This window comes from Homo sapiens, chromosome 3, assembly GCF_000001405.40.
Source record: "Homo sapiens chromosome 3, GRCh38.p14 Primary Assembly".
Taxonomy (NCBI): Eukaryota; Metazoa; Chordata; class Mammalia; order Primates; family Hominidae; genus Homo; species Homo sapiens.
This window is the reverse complement of record NC_000003.12, coordinates 17377820-17394167: the sequence shown is the minus strand read 5'-3', so window position 1 is coordinate 17394167 and position 16348 is coordinate 17377820. Positions and strand designations below refer to the sequence as shown.

The window sequence follows — 16348 nt, the reverse complement described above, 5'->3', positions numbered from 1 at the left end:
TATATTGTAATGCAGTGTTTCTCAACCTTGGGAGTATTAACATTTTGGACCAATTCTTTGTTTTGAGAGGTTGTTTTGCGCACTGTAGGATGTTTAGCAGATCCCTGATCTCTACTTGCTAGAGCTGTGAGGCCTGTTCACTCTGATGATAGTTTCTTTTGCTGTGCAGAAGCTCTTTAGTTTAATTAGATCCCATTTGTCAGTTTTGGCTTTTGTTGCCATTGCTTTTGGTGTATTAGTCATGAAGTCTTTGTCCATGCCTGTGTCCTGAATGGTATTGCCTAGGTTTTCTTCTAGGGTTTTTATGGTTTTAGGTCTTACGTTTAAGTCTTTAATCCATTTTGAGTTAATTTTTGTATAAGGTGTAAGGAAGGGGTCCAGGCTCAGTTTTCTGCATATAGCTAGCCAGTTTCCCCAACACCATTTACTAAATAGGGAGTCCTTTCCCCATTGCTTGCTTTTGTCAGGTTTGTCAAAGATCAGGTGGTTGTAGATGTGTGGTATTATTTCTCAGGCCTCTGTTCTGTTCCATCGTTCTGTATATCTGTTTTGGTACCAGTACCATGCTGTTTTGGTTACTGTAGCCTTGTAGTATAGTTTGAAGTCAGGTAGCATGATGCCTCCAGCTTTGTTCTTTTTCCTTAGGATTGTCATGAATATATGGGCTCTTTCTTGGTTCCATATGAAATTTAAAGTATTTTTTTCTAATTCTCTGAAGACAGTCAATGGTAGGTTGATGGAAATAGCATTGAATCTGTAAATTACTTTGGGCAGTATGGCCATTTTCATGATATTGATTCTTTCTATCCATGAGTATAGAATGTTTTTCCATTTGTTTGTGTCCTCTCTTATTTCCTTGAGCAGTGGTTTGTAGTTCTCCTTGAAGAGGTCCTTCACATCCCTTGTAAGTTGTACTCCCAGGTATTTACAAAGAACTTAAACAAATTTACAAGAAAAAAACAACCCCATCAAAAATGGGGTGAAGGATATGAACAGACATTTCTCAAAGGAAGACATTTATGCGGCCAACAAACATGGAAAAAAAAAAACCTCATCATCACTGGTCATTAGAGAAATGCAAATCAAAACCACAGTGAGATACCATCACACACCAGTTAGAATGGTGATCATTAAAAAGTCAGGAAACAATAGATGCTGGAGAGGATGTGGAGAAACGGGAATGCTTTTGGTGGGAGTGTAAATTAGTTCAACCACTGTGGAAGACAGTGTGGCAATTCCTCAAGGATCTAGAAACAGAAATACCATTTGACACAGCAATCCCATTACTGGGTACATACCCAAAGGATTATAAGTCATTCTACTATAAAGACACATGCATACGTATGTTTATTGCAGCACTGTTCACAATAGCAAAGACTTGGAACCAACCCAAATGCCCATCAAAGATAGACTAGATAAAGAAAATGTGGCACATATACACCATGGAATACTATGCAGCCATAAAAAAGGATGAGTTCATGTCCTTTGCAGGGACATGGATGAAGCTGGAAACCATCATTCTCAGCAGACTAACACAGGAACAGAAAACCAAACACCGCATGTTCTCACCCGTAAGTGGGAGTTAAACAATGAGAACACATGGACACAGGGAGGGGAACATCACACACTGGGGCCTGTTGCGGGGTCGGGGGTTTAGGGGAAGGATAGCGTTAGGAGAAACCTAATGTAGATGATGGGTTGAAGTGTGCAGCAAACCACCATGGCATGTGTATACCTAATGTAACAAACCTGCACATTCTACACGTTTCCCGGAACTTAAAAGTATAATTTTTTTTTAAAAAAAGGGTCACATGACACAGCAAGTGGATCATGTAGAAAGAAGATGTTAGCATAAGACTGGACCCTATTTTCTGCACCAATATTACAACCAGTAACTATCATTGATTACTTAGTAAATTCAATTTTATGCCATCACTAAAAAAATAAATAATAAAAAATAAAAAATCTAAGGGCCTTTTGTCTGACTGAAGGGTTCTCTGTGGCATCATCTTAGAGCTTTCTGAGATCTTAACAAAGGCTTTTACAGTCACACCTTTGATTTCATCTTTAGTTCTTGCCTGTCTTTGTCCTAGATTTGATCTTTGCCCAGAAGCAGTGTGTTAATGTTGGTATCATTTGCTGACTTGAGAAGCTGGGAATGAGAAAAAGCTTTATTTTCAAACCAAGAAAGTTCTAGCACCTTTATGTTTACCAGTTATTCCTTTTGTTTTTTCTCTTCTTTCATTCTACTATAAGTAACATAAATAAACCAGACAATACTTTCAGTACTCTGCCTGGATATCTCCTTAGCTAGATCACTCAGTTTATTAGATTCATTTTCTATGTTGCATATAACTAGAGGCTATCACATTGCCAGACTTTCTGTCACTGCGTAATAAGGAACCCCTTTCCTCCATTTTTTTTTCTGTAATGTTTTCTTCACTTTCATTTAAGCCCTCACTGGCGCCTCTTTGCAGATTGTCTTTTGCTAATAGTCTTTTTCCCACAGCCTTAATTTCTCACTGATGCTCTCCTGAAGGTCCTTCTGTCTTCTATCCAGTCCCATAGGCACTTCTACCACATATTTTAGGTATTTTTTTTTTTTGAAACAGCACCCCAGTTTCAGATATCAAAACCTCTATTATATTTTGCTACGTAATTAATCAACCAAAATTGGTGGCTTAGAACAACAATTAATTATTATGTCATGGTTGCTGTGGATCAGGAGTTTGGGAGCAGTATAGCTGGGAGATTCTGGCTTAGGAGTGTTTCATGAGATTGCAGTCACGTGGTTACTGGAGCTGCAAACGTTTGATGGCTTGACTATGGCTGGAGTATCCACTTTGGTTCCTCTCCATGTGGATCTCTCTAATGTGCTGCTTTACGGTCCTCCTTCAGAAGATACTTTCTTCAGATCAAGCGATCCAAGAAAGAAGAAGAGCCATGTAGAAGCTATGTCGTTTTTATGCCATTACCTCAGAAGGGAAATGTGAGAATTAAAAAATTTGCAGATATAGTTTTAAGAGCAGCACAATCCCAGTGGAGTTTTCAAGGTCTTCCCCATGTTCTTTTTCATTCCGTCTACTAGACGGGGAAATGTGTACAGAGGCCTGCCGGTGGGGAAGTTAGGGGAGTGTATTTCCTGGTCCCACATAATTTCCTCTCTCATTCCATTGGCTAGCACTCAAGTCACATGACCACAGCTAACTGAAAAGGAAGCTGGGAAATTAAATCCAGCTATGTGCCTGCAAAGAAGAGAAAACAGGTTTGGTTGAATAGGGAGAATGGAAATTACCAACCAAAATAGGGAACACAGGAAGAAAAAGAATTGTGTCTTTCAGTATGTCTGTTTTTATTCCATATCAAATTGTTCCTTGTTGTGGTCTTGGCTTGATTGTTCAGTTTTTCTTTAATAAAACAATAAACCACAGTAAGATATTATAGTTATTTTGGTGGTTAATAGTATTCTAGGGAGTTTTCATCAGCTCATTTAAAAATTTTGGATGAGTGCTTGTTTTGATTTTCCGTTTTTGAAATATGGGCATAACAACAGTTATTGTTCCTTCAAGTCCTTCTGTGCTTCTTTGTCCTATTGCATGATTATAAACCCTCACCAAGGGCTTTCCTTTTTCCCCTGGGGCATCTTATTGAATACTTGCATCTTCAGTATTTCATCTGAGCCCAATGCTTTGTCTGTTTTAATACTTCTAATTACCTAATTATGTACTATAATGTGGTGACAAAACCCTTTATCATTTTACTCTTTTCTTAACCCTTTTCTTGCTTAGGAAAGATTCTTTTTGTCTCTTTGTTGCCTGCATTACAGATAGCCCCGATATTTGTCTGGCTTCCCTTTATTGTCTGTATTATGACAGACCATTGTCCTGTTGAATGTCTTTCCAACTATCAGGCACCTGGGTTCCTGGTTATTGGGGCTCCAAAGTTGGTGTTTAGTTGTTCTCCATCCCTCACTTTTCAGTTCACTTCCACACACTGCAGTCATATGAGACCATATCCAAATGGCAAATAGGATACTCTAGTTGTCATAAACTACTTCTGTTACAGAATTAGTAGCCATTCTATCATGTATAGGTCTTTGTATAATCAAATGTCTGCAGTAAGTATCCATGAGCCAAATGTAATAGAAATCAATAAGATTTTTAAAAATTATATGAATTGTACTTCAGGATAGCTAAAAATTGATGAAGGATTTTTTTCATTATGTCTTAGATAATAAAGGAAGAAAAAATATTATAGAATTATAGTTTTACCATTTTATGACTTCTAATGAGTTAATAGATTTAGGCAGTGATCATTAACAGTTGGTAGCATCACAGAAAGTGGGATACATTAATGTTAGGTGCCTCCTGATGGAAGTACACAACACCAACTTACCACTGCATTGAAATCACCCCAAGTTTAAAACAACAGAATTTATTTTGTTGTTGAATCTACAACTTGAGCAGGGCTCAGTAGGATGGCTCATCTCTGTTGCACATGGTGTTGGCTGGGGTAGCTTGAAGTCCAGGGTCTGGAATCATCTGAAGGTTTGCTCATTCACCTGTCTGGTTATTGAAGCTGGCTCTCAGGTGAGACCTCCTCTGGAGCTGTGGTGAGAACACCCGCGATGGCCTTTTCATATGGCTGTTTGGCTTCCTTACAGCATGGTGGTCTGGTTCTGAGAATGTGTCCAGAGAGAGCCAGACAGAAGCTGTGTTCCACCACCACTTTTGACACGTTTATTTTTTGAGAAACTGGTCACTAAGGGCAGCACATACTCAAAGGGAAGAGAGTCAGACTCTTTCATCTTTCTATGGGAGGAGTATCAAAGAATTTGCAAACATGTTCTCAAATTATGTCATCTATAGATGAGACAAGAAGAATCTTGTTGAAAACTTGAACCTGAATCTGATAAAGTCTCTAGATCTAACTGCCAGTTTGTAGGAAATACAGGGGACAGGAGAATCGTTAAATAAGAAAATGGAGGCACAATACGTAAAATTCTGAATGTGGGAAGCTTCTACAGGATAAAAAATCTGGTTTCTTTAACAAATACATTACAAGATAAAAAAGAGAAGAAGGACAAGTCTATAGATTAAAGGAATCTTAAGAGATAATATCAACAAATTGCAATGTACTGACAAATATTTCTTGGTTCTTGAACAAAGTGTTAAGAATTTTTAGACAGTCACAGAAATTTGAACATTTACTGGTTATTTGATTAATAGATTATTATTTTTATTATTAGTAGTGTTACAATGGCACTATGGTATTTTTTTTGTTTCTTTGTTTGTTTGTTTTGTTCGAGACAGGGTGTGTCTCTCTTGCCTAGGCCAAAGTGCAGCGGCACAAACACAGCCCACTGCAGCCTCTACCTCCGAGGCTCAAGTGATCCTCCCACCTCAGCTTCCCAATTAGCTGGGACTACAGGTTTGTGCCATCATACCCAGCTAATTTACTTTTACTTTTTTTTTTTTTTTTTGTAAAGGCAGGGTCTCGCTATGTTGCCCAAGCTGGTCTCAAACCCCTGGGCTCAAGGGATCCTCCTGCCTTGACCTTTCAAAGTGCTGGGATTATAGGTGTGAGCCTCTTCACCTGGCCTATGGTTATGTTTTTAAAGAGTGCTTATCTTTTAGAGATACACATTGCAGTATTTACAGATATAATGACGTCTGGGATTAGCTTCAAAATAATGCAATATTGGAGAGGAATATATGTAAAACAAGAAATTATTAGTGCTGAAGCTAGCTGATGGGTAGATTGGGGTTCAGTTTACTGTTGTCTTGTCTTTATTAAATGTTTGAATTTTCCATAATGAAAGATTTTTAAAATTTATAATTAAACCTATATTGCCTACCAATTTTGGTTTATTTCAAGATAGAAAACAAAACTTACACACCACATGTTTGTGATGGCTCTTGTTATTATTGTGTACTATGTAAAATTTGTTTAAATATGGTTTCTTCACACATCTGAGAGAGAAACTTCTATATTATCAATACTGATCAGTTGAGTCTAAACTGAAATATGACTTTTACCCTAAAGTAAGGATTTAAGACTATTTTAGTCTAAATTCCATTATGGACTACTTAATCTTTGCTGTTCATCTCTATTTTTAGAGTTTCGCCCTCACCTATTTTACATCTCAATTTTTATTTTATGGACAAATGTAGAAAGAAAGACCTTCTGTTAATAATAAAATTTGTTTCCAGTTCCTACTTAATGTGATTTTTTTCCTTTCTGTTTTATTTTCCTACCAGATATTTTGGTTTGAATAAATTATGAACCTCTACAGTTTTAATTCTAAATTTCTCTCTTTATTTTCATGAAACTGTAACATCATTGTTGATTTTTCAAAACCTGAATGATTGTTGCATCTAGTGTGGTTAGTATTCTGTGCTTTTAATTATGTTTCAAAAACAGATTTGCCTTTCCAATGATATTTGGGTTAGACTGATGTTCAAATTACTTTACCTAGCCTGAATCCACACCATCTAGCAAGGGGTAAATAAAACCTAGAAGTGTAATGAGTGGTAGGGAAGCTATTTTGAAACTTACAACATATCATCAAAAACAGATTATTACTATTCCTAGAAATGCTACTCACTGTACTTTTTCTCCCACATTTCTTATACCTATAAATGTAACATCTTCTGGATTGAATCCTGATACTGTGACCATCAAGTATTTTTTGTAGGAACTATGTTATTGTCTAGGTATATTCATCAACCTTCAGAGCTAGGTTCTTATGTGTAACTCTAAAGTCAATGGAATTTTACCTAAATGCATTTCTCAGATTAATTTATAACTGATTAGGGAAGCAGTTGGAAAGTGCTGCTGTTCTGTTAACTACCCAGATACCTTGGCACAGGTATTATTTCTCTGTGCTTCTGTTTACTTGCCTGTTAATCTCTGAGTTGGACTGGATAATCTCCAAAGACTCAGCACAAAACTCTGATTTTCAGTTCTTTTTCCAACTTTTGAAATAGTTTTGAAAACTTTACTTCTTTTTCAGAGCTTTTCTCTATCTTTCTACCTTACTTATTCGATGCAATGGATTCTTCATCATTTAAAGAACAAGTTATAGTTTTCTAACAAAGAGAGTGCCATGAAACTTCACAAATTAGCACTTCAGCATTGTAGAGCAGAATCATAGTTGGTGTGCTGTTTCATAGATATGCTATGTCTGCATAATACATATTTTCAGTTGATTTGGTATTTGCTAAAAGTAGACAATTTAAATTACTACTTGCAATTGAATTCTTTTAGATCTGTAGTTTTTAATCTTGAAAGTGGTTGGTATGCATTTAAATGAAACCAGGAATTGATATACAGTGTGTTAAAAGAAAAACTTCAGCCGAATTAAATTTAATGGAGTTTAATTGAGCAATGAACGATTCGTGAATTGGGCAGCCTTCCGAGTCAGAGTAGGCTCAGAGACGCCAGCACAGCCACGTAGTGGAAGATTTATAGACAGAAGAAGGAAAGTGACATACAGATAACAGAAGTGAGGTACAGAAACAGCTGGATTGGTTACAGGTTGGTGTTTGCCTTATTTGAACATGGGTTGAACAGTTGGCTACATTTGATTGGCCAAAACTCAATGATTGGCAGACGTGTAAGCTGTGGTCTGTTTACACCTCCACTTGTTATAGTTCACGATGTGCAAAGAAACCTTTAGGCTGAACTTAAAATATGTAAGGAGGCAGCTTCAGCCTAAAGTTGACTTAACAGGTATACTTTACATTTTTAGTTTTTAGGTATTAAATTATTTATAGTTTATGGATACTCTTTGCAAAGTTAATGTAGTAGTTTTTAGTACTTTCTTTCATAATCAATTTTAGATTATAACAGCTACACAGAATTTGGTTGTGCCAATGTGTGTAGAAAATTTCCAAAGAATAGATGAGGAAGGGGACGTGCAAAATTATTAAGTCAGGTGATCCAGATTTTTGGGAATGAAGCCTACTTGAAGACAGAGTTAAATTTATGTTATATAATGAGAAGGAGAGAAAATTTCACCTCTCAAAAGTATTATTCTATTCGTAGCTTAATGGCTAAGTTTCCCAAGATATTTCTCTATACCAAGTTATTTTATTAACTACTTACCTATCTTTTATCCTGATTAATTTGGGATATTTGATTTTTAAGGGCTTTAGCAACTTTCTTTTGTTTCAAAATGACATTTTAAAAGTTTTTGTGTTTCTTGCCTACTTCAGTGCATTTGACATCATTCTGCAGTTTCTTTGGCTTCTCTGACATATGCTTACTCTTCAGGTTACTTTTTCTCTTCTTTAGAAGTTAATTGTGCCACCCCTATTTGAACTCTGATTCCTGGATAGGGACTGCCTGGGAGATCATCACATTAAGCTTTATGCAAATATGTGAAGCGACCTTGCTCAGATCCTTAGTTTGTTTACTGGCCCCCCAAAAAGAGGCTTCCTTGCTGCCACAGAAAAGGTAGGAAAAAAAAAACAAAAAACCAAACCTGTCTGGGCAGTTGCAAAAGAGAGTTGTAAGCAAAAGTCAAATGAACAGATGAATGTAAAATGGACCTTAATTTATTTAAAAAATTAGGACCAGAAAAAAAGATGCTTCACAGATCTCTAGCACAATTCACCAAAAACCTAGCTTGGACTAGAAAGTTATAACTGTCCAAGGCACCAACAAAGTAGCAGAGTGAAGCATAAAATAGCTGAGGTCTTCAGAAATGGGAGGCAGTAAACCATTATAATATGATGTAAAACATAAAACAGCCACTACTGCTCTTAAAAGACTCATTAAGGAATGTTTCTCTGTTTCAATAATGCTCTATGCCTTCATGCTCTAGGTCATCTTCCTCTCTACTCTCTCACATTTTCTCCCATTTTTTAGTTCCAAAGCCACCTGATTTGCAATCTCATTACCTAAAGTATCATTACTCAAATACTATTATAATAATGGCGTCTTATTCCTGAATATCTGCTACTTGTTAGGCACCGTTCTTGGTGCTCTTACATGATTTTATCTTGATCACAAGATCAGTATTGTTATCCCTGCTTAATAGATGAGGCAGTTAAGCAATCATTCACTCAGGGTTGCATAACTAGAAATTATGCAACATGAATTTGAACACAGGCTTTTCTACTTGGGTTTGGGACTTTTAAATTTCACTTTATTATAATGCACTCTTAAGTCCTTCCTATGCTACTCTTTCAGGTTTATTCCTCCATAGAGTTAAATTAAAATACTGTTTTCTTTATCACTTCCTTATTCAAAAATATACATTTACTATGCTGTGTTTCCATAGTTGGAAATTCAGCATTCAAAGTTCTTTCCAGCCTTACTCCACCTTTTCTTCTATCCCACTGTCCTGCTCCCAGCAGGCAGTATTTCATGGAATTGTCTTTTCCTTCTGATTAATAATTACCATGTTATGCTGCATTCTTGAAATACCCATTGCCTTCTGTGCCTTCATATCTTTCTTTCTGTTTTGATTACCTTTTCCACTGATGTTCCATGTTCCTCCTCTCCTAAAAATTATTGTTCAAACTCTCTGTGATTAAACCCAGTTGACTACTACTACTAGATGACATTCCCTCGGCCCTTATACATTCATTGTGTATTGTGTTGCTGTGGGTTTTCTCTTTGGGTTCTTGCAGTTGTGGTGTTTTACTGCATTATAAATAAATATTTAGAAGTCTATATTGTAATCAGATGAAAGGCTGATAAGGTGGTTATATGTAATAACTGAAGTGTCGCTATTTTACATCAAGGAAAAAGAATGACAATCTTTTTTTGAAAAAAATTAGTACTTTTACAAAATCACATTCTTATCCTAAAAACCAGTGGGCTAAAACAAAGCAACTCCCCATCTGCAGACACGTAGAATATGATTCAAAAGCTATCATATTCACATATGTGTGAAGTATATGAAGCATGTGAAAAAATTTGAAATGTGAATATGTTGAAGGATGTAATTTACCTCTGGGATGTAATTATTTCCCCTTGCCTCACTCCTTTTTCAGTCCCCACTAAAGGCATAAGTTACATGGCAAACACAGGCTTGTTCTAAAACCTGAAGCAGCCCTTGGCACGTCTTCGAGATGAGAATTTGAGAGTGATTCTTGAAACTGTGTTAGTCAGTTTCAATCTTGTATTTTCTTTTTCCAGGTTTCCTGAAATGCAGTTTTTCCAGCAAGAAAATGTGAGAAAAATTCTTACAGATGTTCTTTTCTGTTATGCCAGAGAAAACGAGCAGTTGCTTTATAAACAGGTAATGAAAATATCTTACAGGTGGCATCCATTGACTCAAAATTTTCTATACAGCTTGACAAATGATAGAGCAATAATGTAGCCTTTATTGTATCCAAAGTTGTATCATAATGCTAAAGCAATCAGAGAGTTGCTTGTCAGCTGCATGGTGAGAAAGGTAAGCTCATTGAAGCACATATGCTTCTTCCTCATTATAAGACATTCCACCAAATTGTCTTCTAGAAGGTGTTCAATCTTTTCTTTCAACTTCTGGGAGTTTGTTTATAAACAGCATCTTTGAAGGCAATCTAGTAATAAAATTTCAGAGTTGTATGTACAAATATTATTTTTAAGTATAGCATTTATAAATATATGACATGTCATGTAAAAAATAATCAAGTATCCTATTACCTTTTAAAACTTATCAGTAATAGAACTTCAGAAAGTTTCTTTAAATTTTTTGAAATGTGTATTTAGTTCCTTTGTGATCCTGTTATTTGACTCGTCTCATTACTAAAGCAAAGAAGATTATTGGGTTGTTTTATTTTATTGAAATGTAAATTATTTAATATATACAGATATATTTACATTTTTTATTTAAGTTTATGGTGTTCTAATAAAAATACACACACTTGGGTATTTTTATGTATTTCTCCAAATGCAAATTAAGTGAGAATTCAAGCTAAATTCTTAAATTCTCTAATAATCAAAAGTTATAATGTATACCTAATTCAGGACCACTGAACTTAAATTTAATATAATAGAAAACACTTAATGGTAAAAGCAGTGTATTTAATTTGAAATAAACTAGATTTAAGGATAGTAAAACATTTCAGACTACAAATATACCAAATCGTACATTTTTAATTATTGTATATACATAGAATACCCAAGGGAACTAATTTTATCTTATTTTTAATAGTAATATTTTTCTGTATTAATTAACTGCTGACAATAGCTTATTAGAATTGGAAATGAAAAATATATTGCATTTATAAGGGCAACCAAAAGCTATAACATGTCTAGAAAAAAATTAACAATAAAGATACAAAAGCTATATGAAGGAAACTATAGGCCAGGTGCAGTGGCTTACACCTATAATCCCAGCACTTTGTAAGGCTGAGGCAGGGTGATTGGCTGAGCCCAGGAGTTTGAGACCAGGCTGGGCAACATGGTGAAACCCCATCTCTACAAAAGTACCACAAAATTAGCTGGGCATGGTGGTGCACACGTATAGTCTCAGCTACTTGGGAGACTGAAGTGGGAGGATCTCTTGAGACCAGGAGTTTGAGGCTGCAGTGAGCTGTGATTGATTCACTGCACTCTAGCCTGAGCGAAAGAGTGAGATCCTGTCTCAAAAAAAAAAAAAAAGTTATTCAAGGATATAAAGCAAGAATCGAATAAATAGAAAAATAGCATGTTTTTGGATGAGAAGACTTTAAGTAAAAATATTACTTCTTTATGTTTAAATGAATTATCATTCCAGTGATAACCTGAGTAAGATACGTGTTTTTTTTAAAAAACTGGATACAGTTATTTTAAATTTAGTGCCTAAAAATGTTACACTTATTTTAACGGAGATAATATAATTTAGGGATTAAAAGCACTGAGTGTAGACACAAATTCCTTTGTTCGAATCTCACCTCTGTCATTTACTAACTTCACAATCTTAGACAATTTACTTAACCTTTTTAATCTTTAGTTTTGCATCTGTAAGATGAGGGTAATAATAGTAATTACTTTCTAGAGTTAACATTTGGTGCCAAGCAAAGGTTCATGTTGGTAGTTGTGGTTGTTTTTATTATCATCATCATTATAATAATTATTAAATGTGTTGGAATTACCATAGAATTTGTGGGAAAGGGATAATGGGAAATATAGATATTAAAACTTCTATAAAGGTTCTGTGATCAAACTAATGTGACAGTATTATGTGAATTGACCATTGTTCAGTGAAACAGTCTAGAAACAGGTTCAGTTATATATGGGATCTGAATATGGTAAAATAAAGAAAAGGATATTGACGTGCTATATGTGGATTTCCGTCTGGAAAAACCATTAAATTACACATTTATTGGAGAATAAATTCCAGATGGTGTAAAAATATAAATATAAAAACTTAAAGTATATAAAAATACTAGAAGATTTAGGAGAAATTTTTTTGTAATCTCAGACTAGGAAAGGCCCTCGCAAGCAAGGTAGACTCATCTACAAGTCGGATAAAAAGTCGAAAGACTAAAAACAAACCAAAAAGGAGACTGGGGGAAAAAATCTATTAGTGTAGAATTCTTTTGGGAGCAAATAGCAGAAGACCCCGTTTAAAATGGCTTAAACTGTAAAGAGATTGTTAACACACTTCACATGAAGTCTGGGAGTAAATAGTTCTGCTGCATTAGTTCATTAGCTTAAAATCTTTATCACAGATTCCAGGATTTTGTTTTTCTGCTTTCTTTTCATTATGTTGGCTTTCATTGTGAACCTTATCTCTTTGTTATTTCCTCTTTTCCTTTAACTACTTGAAAATACCCCGTAGTAAAAGACTTGATGATAGTGAATCAAATCAGGATAAAGTTATCCCAAATTACACATCTGTTTTCCAATTTTTTTTAGAGAAAGAAAAAATAGATTAAGGAAGTCTTATAATAATGGAAACAAGTTCTATGGACAAGGAACAAAAACATAATAACTGTGCACTCCATCTACCATTTGTGATGTATGTGGCCCACTGCATTTGTATAGAAGACTACTCAGGAATATGGAAGATCAGGTTCTTGATCCATTTAGACAAAAATCTATCAATTACTAAATTAGAAACTATTATTAACTTACTCCTGGGTGTCATTTTAAAATATTTAATTACTCCCTGTACATGTTTAAAATCCTATAGATTTTTTACAGAAAAATAATACCTTGCTGTAGAAGGACTGAATATTTAGCCAGATCAAATTTAAGAAAAAACCTTAAGTTTCATCACAAGCTGTTAAAGCTATTATTTTGTACTAGGTGACACCCTGTTAAACATCGACCATATTGTTAATAGTTATGGGATTTTATTGAATTAATGAGACTGTTATCATGTAGTAGAATGTCTTGCTGAGTTAATTGAAATTGCAGAGATTATATAAATGGTATTAATGAACTTTGACTGCCTGATGCCTTAGCTTTAATAAAGACTGCTTGGTGGGCTAAATGAACACAGGCAGATAAAAGAACAGGTTCAATTTTGTGAACCTACAGGCTGTTGAAGAAAACTTTTGTTACCTTTATTTTCAACTGGCATGAGTTTGGAGTGCAGTGACTACTAACAATCTAGCAGGGATAAAGGCTTTTAAGCAGGCAGAAATGCTGACAATATAGGTGGAAGCAAAATATACATTTTGGGAACCAGAAGCGTACTATCAATACATTATTTTCTATTACGTTTTGTCAAATTTGTAGCATATTGAATTCATGATTATTATTTCTGGTATTTCTCTTTTCTTTTAAAGACGTCTATGTAATTGCCATTTGTAATTATTAAACAGGTTTTACTAGTCTAGAATTGATAGCAAAACCAAAAATCTCAAAATTTTAGGTATTTGAAAAAAAATCCCTAGTTTAGATGAAAGTCAAAACTGAGCTTGTAAAATAGTTTTAATGGTATTCAAAAGACTTAATTTCCATTCTGCCAAGAACACCTTTATTTATTAATTTGAAATATGATTTAATGCTATTCTTTTTTCATATTGTAGCTTAGCTTTTTTCACTATGTGGATATACTAAGTGGTAGATATTGCATTCATTCAGTCAATATGTAGTGAGTACCTTATTTGTGCTGGGCCTGTGGTAGGATCTGGATGTGTATACACACACACACACACACACACACACACACACACACACACACACATACACAGTCACAGCTGTACAGTGTCCATTCTTACCTGCAGTACAGTACAGTACAGTAGTTCGCCCTTACCTGCAGTTTCACTTTCTGTGGTTTCAGTTACCTGCAGTCAACCATCATTCAAAAACAGTTGAGTATGGTACAATAAGATATTTTGAGAGAGAGAGAGAGAGAAACCACAATCACATAATATTGTTACACTATATTGTTATAATTGTTCTATTCTTATTAATTGTTGTTAATCTTAGTGTGCCTAATTTATAATCTTTAATTTAAATCATAATTTTAATACCTTTGTCATACAGGTGTATGTATAAAAACAGCATGGTATGTGTAGTTTTCAGTACTATTTACAGTTTTAGGCATCTACTGGGAGGTCTTAGAATATATCTCCTGCACATAATGAGGGACTATTGTATAGTCATTTCTGTGCTCATTTTATTATTTTGTTCCTTTCTTTCTAGACCACAAGCTCCATCGAAGTTAGGAACTTGCCCACTTCATTCACTTTTGTGTCCACAGCAAATATAGGCATTTAATAGTTTTTGCAATACGTGAATGATTAATGGAGAATCTAGACAGAGTGGTGTAACAGAAACTAGAAGGAAGAGAACATTTAAAGTTGGAAAGATCCATTTAGACAAGAACTCTTATTAAACTAGCCATAACTTGTTATAAAATATATTTTGGGGAAAAAGCACTATTTCTTTCAAAAGGGCATCCCACTGACAGCAAAGAAAGAAAACTTCATGATAAACCTAGTAAGAACTATGCAGTTCTGCAAATTTTTGGATTGGAAAATCTGATGTTCTTAAAAATACTCTCCTCAAGTTAATTTAAATGCAATGCCAATAACAATTGTAATGTTTTGTTTACCATTTTATGTAACCTACATGATAATGACATAGCCTGGAATAAAAAAATAGAATCATCAAGATAAATTTGAAAAAAAAAAGGAGCAGAAAATAGGAAATATTAGAATATTTTAAAGGTCGAATCTTTATAATGGTACAGTTATTGTTAATAGTATACAAACCAATGTATTTCACAGTGAAAGCCTGGAAAAAATGTAAGCTAAATATTTATTTTTTACTAAAGATGGCATTTCAGAACTCTGGGGAGAAGATGGGTTATTCAGCTTATTGAATAGATTGAATTTATTGAAGATGGAATGATTAATCAGTAAATTGGTGTAATTCTTTTGGAGAAAAACATACTTATTTTCATGGCAAAAATTAAACTTATATCAGTTAAGTGAAGAATTAACTGAAAAAAAAAAAAGGAAACTGTATTCTTTCCTAATCTCAATATAAGGAAGGTCTTTATAGGCATGAAAGCAAAATAGAAACCATGAAGAATGATTTATTGTATTGACTAAAGTGTATAATGTCAGTATGATATATCATAGAAATCAAAAGTAAGACTAATGATAAGCATGGTAAAATGTTTGTAACAAAAATTACAAAGGGTTAATACCTTTCATTGGTATAGAACTATTAGACATCACCAAGGAAACGAAACATTTCATGAGGAGAAAAAGGGCAATTTATTAAGTAAAAACGGTCAATAAAATTTTGGGGTTCAATCTTGCTAGCATTTAAATAAACTATAACAATTTAACTGTGAAACTTGACAAAATTTTTTTAAAACACTCTGAATATAGGTGAGGATGTGTGAGAGAGTGATTTTTATATTCTTCACTGAGGGAATTCTTTCTGGAGACAGCTTAATGGTATACATCCTACCAGACTTTAACACATATTTTTACCCCTTTACCCTGAAATTCTACTTCCAAGGACTTCAATACTGGAGAAATCCTCAGAAATAGGCAAAAAAAGATCACAAGGATATCTATTGGAGTTTTAAATTTATTTCTTAACTTTTGGTTTTTGTCTGGCCTCCTTCTCCCCCTTTATCATTTTCTTATTTTGGTTTTTGCTTTTCCATACTTTTCTATTAATACAATACTTATTTATTATTTTAATGATTAAAATTATGGCACTTTCTTTTTGGAGTAACTTGAGACTATTCCAAGAGAGTAAACCCTTCATGATTTTTAAAGCAGAGTTAGTAATGCTTAATGTCATTTTTCTAGGTGTCTAACATGTTATCTGAAAGATTTTTTTCAAGGTTTGTTTAATAAGGAGATGGTTACCTATAAAGATTGAAATGATATGTGGTCATTTGTCCTAAATCACAAGTAAATTGTCAATGAATCATAAATTGTTT

The 16348-nt window shown here is 34.3% G+C and overlaps 1 protein-coding gene across 65 annotated transcripts in view, besides 1 other annotated feature; it reads left to right on the top strand.

The window, feature by feature from the left end:
- Positions 1-16348, top strand: part of TBC1D5 (TBC1 domain family member 5) — a 585470-nt gene that overhangs the window by 348464 nt on the left and 220658 nt on the right. For all 65 annotated transcript variants that reach the window (XM_047449296.1, XM_011534283.4, XM_047449314.1 and 62 more), the window contains one exon: positions 10153-10255. In XM_047449296.1, the coding sequence (XP_047305252.1) occupies positions 10153-10255 (103 nt within the window). The remainder of the gene's footprint in view (positions 1-10152; positions 10256-16348) is intronic.
- Positions 7505-7705: a silencer, noted in NCBI's record as "peak4551 fragment used in MPRA reporter construct". NCBI's record gives its function as "represses an SCP1 promoter by STARR-seq MPRAs in K562 erythroleukemia cells {active_cell/tissue: K562}" and the evidence as "EXISTENCE:reporter gene assay evidence [ECO:0000049][PMID:32103011]".